Genomic DNA, 6000 nt, shown 5'->3' on the forward strand with positions numbered 1-6000 from the left:
AATAAATTAAATATTTTTATTGTATATTTTGAGCATCTACCCAGTGATAAAAAGTTTCTAAGTTCTGGGATTATTGTCACAGATAAATCAGAACAAAATAACCAAAAAAATAAATAAATATACTGTAATATAAAAACAAGGAATGATAAATGTTATAAAGAGAACTAAAGTATATTAGGGAAGAGCAAGTACTGTGAGTAGGTTAGATATTAAGATCAAGTGATCAAAGAAATTTCTGAAAACATTAAATTTGTACATGATTTTAAATGAAAATAGTTGAATATCCTTAATGAGAAGATTAAATAAAATTGCTCACTAAGATTTTCCTGTCTTTATTAGTTTACAATAAGAAAAAACATATTGAAAATGACAAAAAGGACCAATTTCTTGTCATGCTCCATGATGGTACTTAGCTAATCCAACTGCCAACCTCCCATTGATTTCAAAGAATTGCTATGCTCAAATCAGCTCTGCAAAGATGCAGAGCAAATGAGAAATCGACTTAGAGATGCTTGACATCCAATATGCTTGCTTCAGCTTTTCTAACATAGATGAATATAACATTTTCTCAGGTTAAAAAAAAAAGCCCATTCTGCATGGCTTTATTGAAATTAAAGTTATTTTTTGCAAATATTTTTTCTAATAATTTTTTTAATAAATAATTAAGTCATTCTTATTTGTATTCTAACAAAGTATTAGTGAAAACTTTCATGGAAAATATGACTCAACATTCCATATTTTAAGAAAAAATTTTCATCTGCTAAGAAAATAAATTATTGACTTAACTAGTCTAAGGTATAAAATTGTGGTAATTTTATATTACTATGCAGTACAAAAAAACTATGTAGATAGATATATTTTGGAAATTATTTTTTGTGTATGTATATATATAAAATACATAAATATTATACAAAAACTCAACTTTATCCCAAACACTATCAAAATATCAGTGTACGCCCTACATTAAAAGAAACTAAATTTCAGTTTTCATCTTTAGATATTCTTTGCAACACTGCCAAGACCTTCCTTAAAAAAAGTAACAGTGTTCATACATATATAAATATCATGTTTCAATGTCTTCTCTGAGAGGTATACAATCCTCATAGATGGAGAGATTCAGAAGATGACAAAGCAGGTGCTGCTTCTTCTTTTCACTCATAATTATTGTCATATACTATATTTGTTTCCATAAATTATCCTGGTATTAATATAATTCAGAGTTTTAAAATGGATTTGTGACTTCATAGGCTCATTGCCTTATTCTGTTAGTAAATGGGCCATGATAAAACTTTTCACAATAAGGATTCTCACAGTTTTGGACATGAACTATCAGAAACATGTTATCAGCCACCATTTACTCACCATATTAATAGAGGAATAAATTTTAATTTTTAGTAATTCAGAGTTAAGTCCAAGATATATAACTGGTGATAAATAAAAAATACAAAAAGAATCAGTACCATATTTTGCCATTATGAAAATATAAATATGATTTTATTGATAGATACTTATAGTATAATAGACACACACACACTTAATGTATATTTATATGATAGGTATATTAGTTGTTAAGCATTCTTCCAATCACACCTTTCATATGACTTATTACAACCTTTTCATTTCAAGTTAGGTACTATCCCAATATAATAGTTCATATTTTTAAAAATTAGTAGATTGTTGTGTATTAGAATAAAATTTATTCTTCTCAAAAATGAAGAAGATGTTTTCTGTCTTGTTCTAACTTGTGAACACAGAAATCCTACAGATTTTATGATGAGCTTCAAGGAACACAGAGCAAGATAAAACAAGCCTAGTGCTACTGAGATCTGCCAGTCAGCAGGCATGATTTTGTATATCACTGTGGTCTCTTAAAAGATAGCAAAAATATATAGTGTTTGGGAAACTAATACTACGTGTTTCTCTCTGTTTATGGTCACAGTAATATATTTCATGAATTTTCATTAAGTAGAAGATTTTTTTTCTGAAATAAAATTGATCATAGTTTGCAAAATTTTTAAAATAAAACTCCCTTTGTGAGTTAGTATAAGGAAGAAAACAAACCAAGAGTTATCTGTTGATTAAATATTTATTGAATTATTTAGGGTAATTATTTTTCTGGCATGGAATTGTGTTTTCATTCATTCACCCCAAAATCTATTCATTCAACAACGTTTTCTGTAAAATCTTATAGGTTTTCTATAATAGAATAAAAATTTATCATATGAAGATGATTAGGACAGATTTTACTCTCCATGGAAGTTCAAAACCTAATAGAAAACAAAAAGAATAAATATATAAAACAAGGCTGGTTGATAGAACTTTCTGCAATAATGAAGTTATTCAATATTGGTGCTTTCCAGTATGGTAGCCACTAGGCCTGTGTGGCTATTGACCACTTGAAATGTGGCTAGTATAACTGAGAAACTGATATTTAAAAATATTTACTATTAACTAATTTAAAAAAAATTGTCGTATATAGCTGGTGACTACTATTACACAGTGCAGATCTATATGACACTGTGTTAGAATATACTTGGGAATAAATATACCTTTTTAGTTTAAAAAAAGCCTAATTTTTGAACACCTTTCTTCTTTGGGCTTAGCACATTTTTAGAAGGTGGAGCTATATCTGAGAATAAGACAGAGAATACCTGTATTAAAAGAGTTTAAATCTAGAGGGGTGAAACAAAATAAATATGATCTCTAGCTAGTAATAATAACTACCACAAAAAAAGAAAAAAGGCAGAAATCAAAGTAAGTTACCAAAAGCTGCCTGCGGAGTACTCTTCATATGCAGGGATTAGTATGCCTTTTCTGATAAATTGACATTTGAATACAAACTTCAACAAAATGTGAGGAGAAAGCCTGGTTGATATCTGAAGAAACATCTTTCAGGGCAAATAGAAAACTAACAGGTGGGAAGACCCCATTACATACACACTCTAAAGAGGATCTCATGATACCCAGCTCCTGAAATTTACGTTCTCCTGTGATTTTGTGTGTGGGCAAAACAGTAACTTGCTTTATGAATAGAATAATGCAAAGATAATTGGATGTCACTTATCCAATTAGGCTGCAAAAAGTTCTAATACCTGTCCTGCTAGAAGATGCTCTCCCTGGCTGGCTTTGATGAAATAAGTAGCCATTTTGGAAAGGCCCATGTCACAAGAAACTGAGAGCAGCCTCCAGGAAACAACCAGCTAGGAATTGAGGGAAACCTCTGGGTTGTAGCTGGGAAGAAATTTGTCCACTGGCCAATGGTATGCAAGGGGCTAATTTCTGCCAACAACAACTTGAGTTTAAAGGGGATCCTTTCAAAATCAAGCCTCAGAAAAAACTGCAATCCCAGCTGATGCCTTTTTGCAGCCTTGTGAGGCCCTGAAGAAGAGGACCCTGTAGATCAAGCTTGGGATCCTGAACTACAGAGACTGTGAAGTATTAGATGGGTGTGCTTTAAAATACTCTCTGTGTTAAAATGCTGCAAAAGATAATTAATACGGTCCTTAGGGAGGAGCACATTTTGCATGTTCTAAAGCAAAATGATAGTGAATGGGTTCAGAGAAGAAGAGAAAAGTCATTTAGAGAATAAGAATTAAATCAAAATTTAAAAAACTTTCATTAAGAGTAAGGCATAGACATTTGGAGTGTTTTATTTACAAGATAATCATGCTGTGCATTTAGAAATTCTGCATAGATACTGGATGAAGAAAGGACCACAGGGAGCCATGTACAGTAGGAAGGAGGCCTGTTAGGTGGCTATTGGGATAAAATGAATACAAAATGAAGATGTCCTTGACCAGAGTGATAGCACTGAAAGTTCTGGGAAAGGGTAGAGTTCTAGATATGTTTGGAAACTGGCACAAATAATTTGTTGTCACTAATGAATTGGGATATGGATTATGAAAGAAAAAAAGAGATTATAATAAGCATAACAGTTTTGGCATTCTAGATTCGTGTAATAATTTTCTCCCTTCCCTACCCTTCCCTACCCTTCCCTTCTGCTTCCCTTCCCCTCCCCTCCCCTTCCCTTCTGTTTTGACGGAGTCTTGCTCTTGTAGCCCAGGCTGGAGTGCAATGGCACGATATCAGCTCACTGCAACATCTGCCTCCCAGGTTCCAGCGATTCTCCTGCCTCGGCCTCCCGAGTAGCTGGGATTACAGGAATCCTCTCGGTTAATTTTTTGTATTTTTAGCAGAGACGGGATTTCACCATGTTGGCCAAGCTGTTCTCCAACCCCTGACCTCAGGTGATCCATCCGCCTCGGCATCCCAAAGTGCTGGGATTACAGGCGTGAGCCATCGCGCGTGGCCCGTGTAATGATTTTCATTGAACACATCTGTTTGTTTTTTTAATGATATAATTAGCGAAAAGTATATTTTGATTTTTTTAATTCAATTGAATCAATATTTAACTGCCTGCTGTATGTCTGAGTAAGGTAAATGACTCCTGTATATAAAAATGAACACAGATTGGGCAGGTCTACTAAAATCTATTATCAACCTGTATGTTTATATGTTTTGCTTTTCATTGTTTTAATGAAGTTTACGACCATGAATTCAATGGATTTAAGCCATAAATAAAATAAATGTGAACATTCCATGTAGCTCATCGCTGAGAAAGAAAAATACAACAACATTGGGTTTTATTTGGTTAATTCATTATATTTTCCAGAGAAATTACAAAATTTATTTATTTTATGTTAATATGTAAATTTCTCTTTACACTTTATATTTTAAAACCAAATAAATGCAAAATCTAAAATGAAATAATTGGCCTCATGATTCACTTTTTGGGGAAAAATAAAATACTGATTATGTACATACATATTCAAATACATGAAAATAAAGTATTTTTAAAGTGTATACCACCAAAATATTTAATGGATTATATTTTTGGCTTGATTTACATGATCTTCTGTGTTATTATTTTTCATCTTTCCATTTTCTTCCAAACACAGAACATGTACAAAATTTTCAGTAATACAAAATTAGATAACTAGAGAATTTAAAAAATACTTAAAATAGTTTTAACATAAATAAAATCATGTCCTTCTAAATAGGAATATTTGAAACCAATCTTTCAATTCTCATTTCAGTCCAATGACCTCAAAAAGATAAATTATAATGCTACCTTAATGATAACTTATAAATAGCATTGGCAAGGACTAGTCTTTTCATCATATGAGACACATTTCTTTTATGAATTTCTACCTGGACCACTTTGCTTTAGTATTTCTTCTTGAGAAATTTTCAGTAAAATACAACTCTCCAATTACAGTAGCTATAAAATAATTATAGTTCTATATGGAATATGTTTTCATACATTTTTTTCTTGAATTAATATATAATACCCTTCCATGTTAAATATCTTGAACACAATAAATGCTTTAAATAAATCACAAATGATTGTCACAGAACTTTTTTTATTTATTTAGTAATTATTAAGTACATTGAAAACCAAACGCAAAATTGTTTGTAGTACATACTTTTGAAGATTAGTTACTTTTTTTTTTTTTTTTTTTTTGACGCAGAATCTCACTCTGTCTCCTGGCTGGAGTGCAGTGGTGCGATCTCAGCTCACTGCAACCTCGGCCTCCGTGTTACAAGAGATTCTCCTGCCTCAGCCTCCCAAGTGGCTGGGATTACAGGCACGCGCCACCACACCCAGCTAACTTTTGTATTTTTAGTAGAGAGGGGGTTTGGCCATGTTGGTCAGGCTGGTCTTGAACTCCTGACCTCAGGGGTTCCGCCCCCTCACCCTCCCAAAGTGCTGGGATTACAGTTGTGAGCCACTGCACCCGGGCGAAGATTAGTTACTCTTAAATAAGCTAAGATATTGAGAAAATTAGAGTAACTTTTCTATCAATAGTATCTAAAGACGAGTGTATTAATTTGTCTAGAAACGTTATGGCTGTGTGTGGTGGCTCACGCCTGTAATCCCAGCACTTTGGGAGGCCGAGGTGGGCAGATCACTTGAGGTTAGGAGTTCAAGACCAGCCT

The sequence above is a fragment of the Homo sapiens genome, chromosome 13 (genome assembly GCF_000001405.40).
Source record: "Homo sapiens chromosome 13, GRCh38.p14 Primary Assembly".
In the NCBI taxonomy this organism is placed as follows: domain Eukaryota; kingdom Metazoa; phylum Chordata; class Mammalia; order Primates; family Hominidae; genus Homo; species Homo sapiens.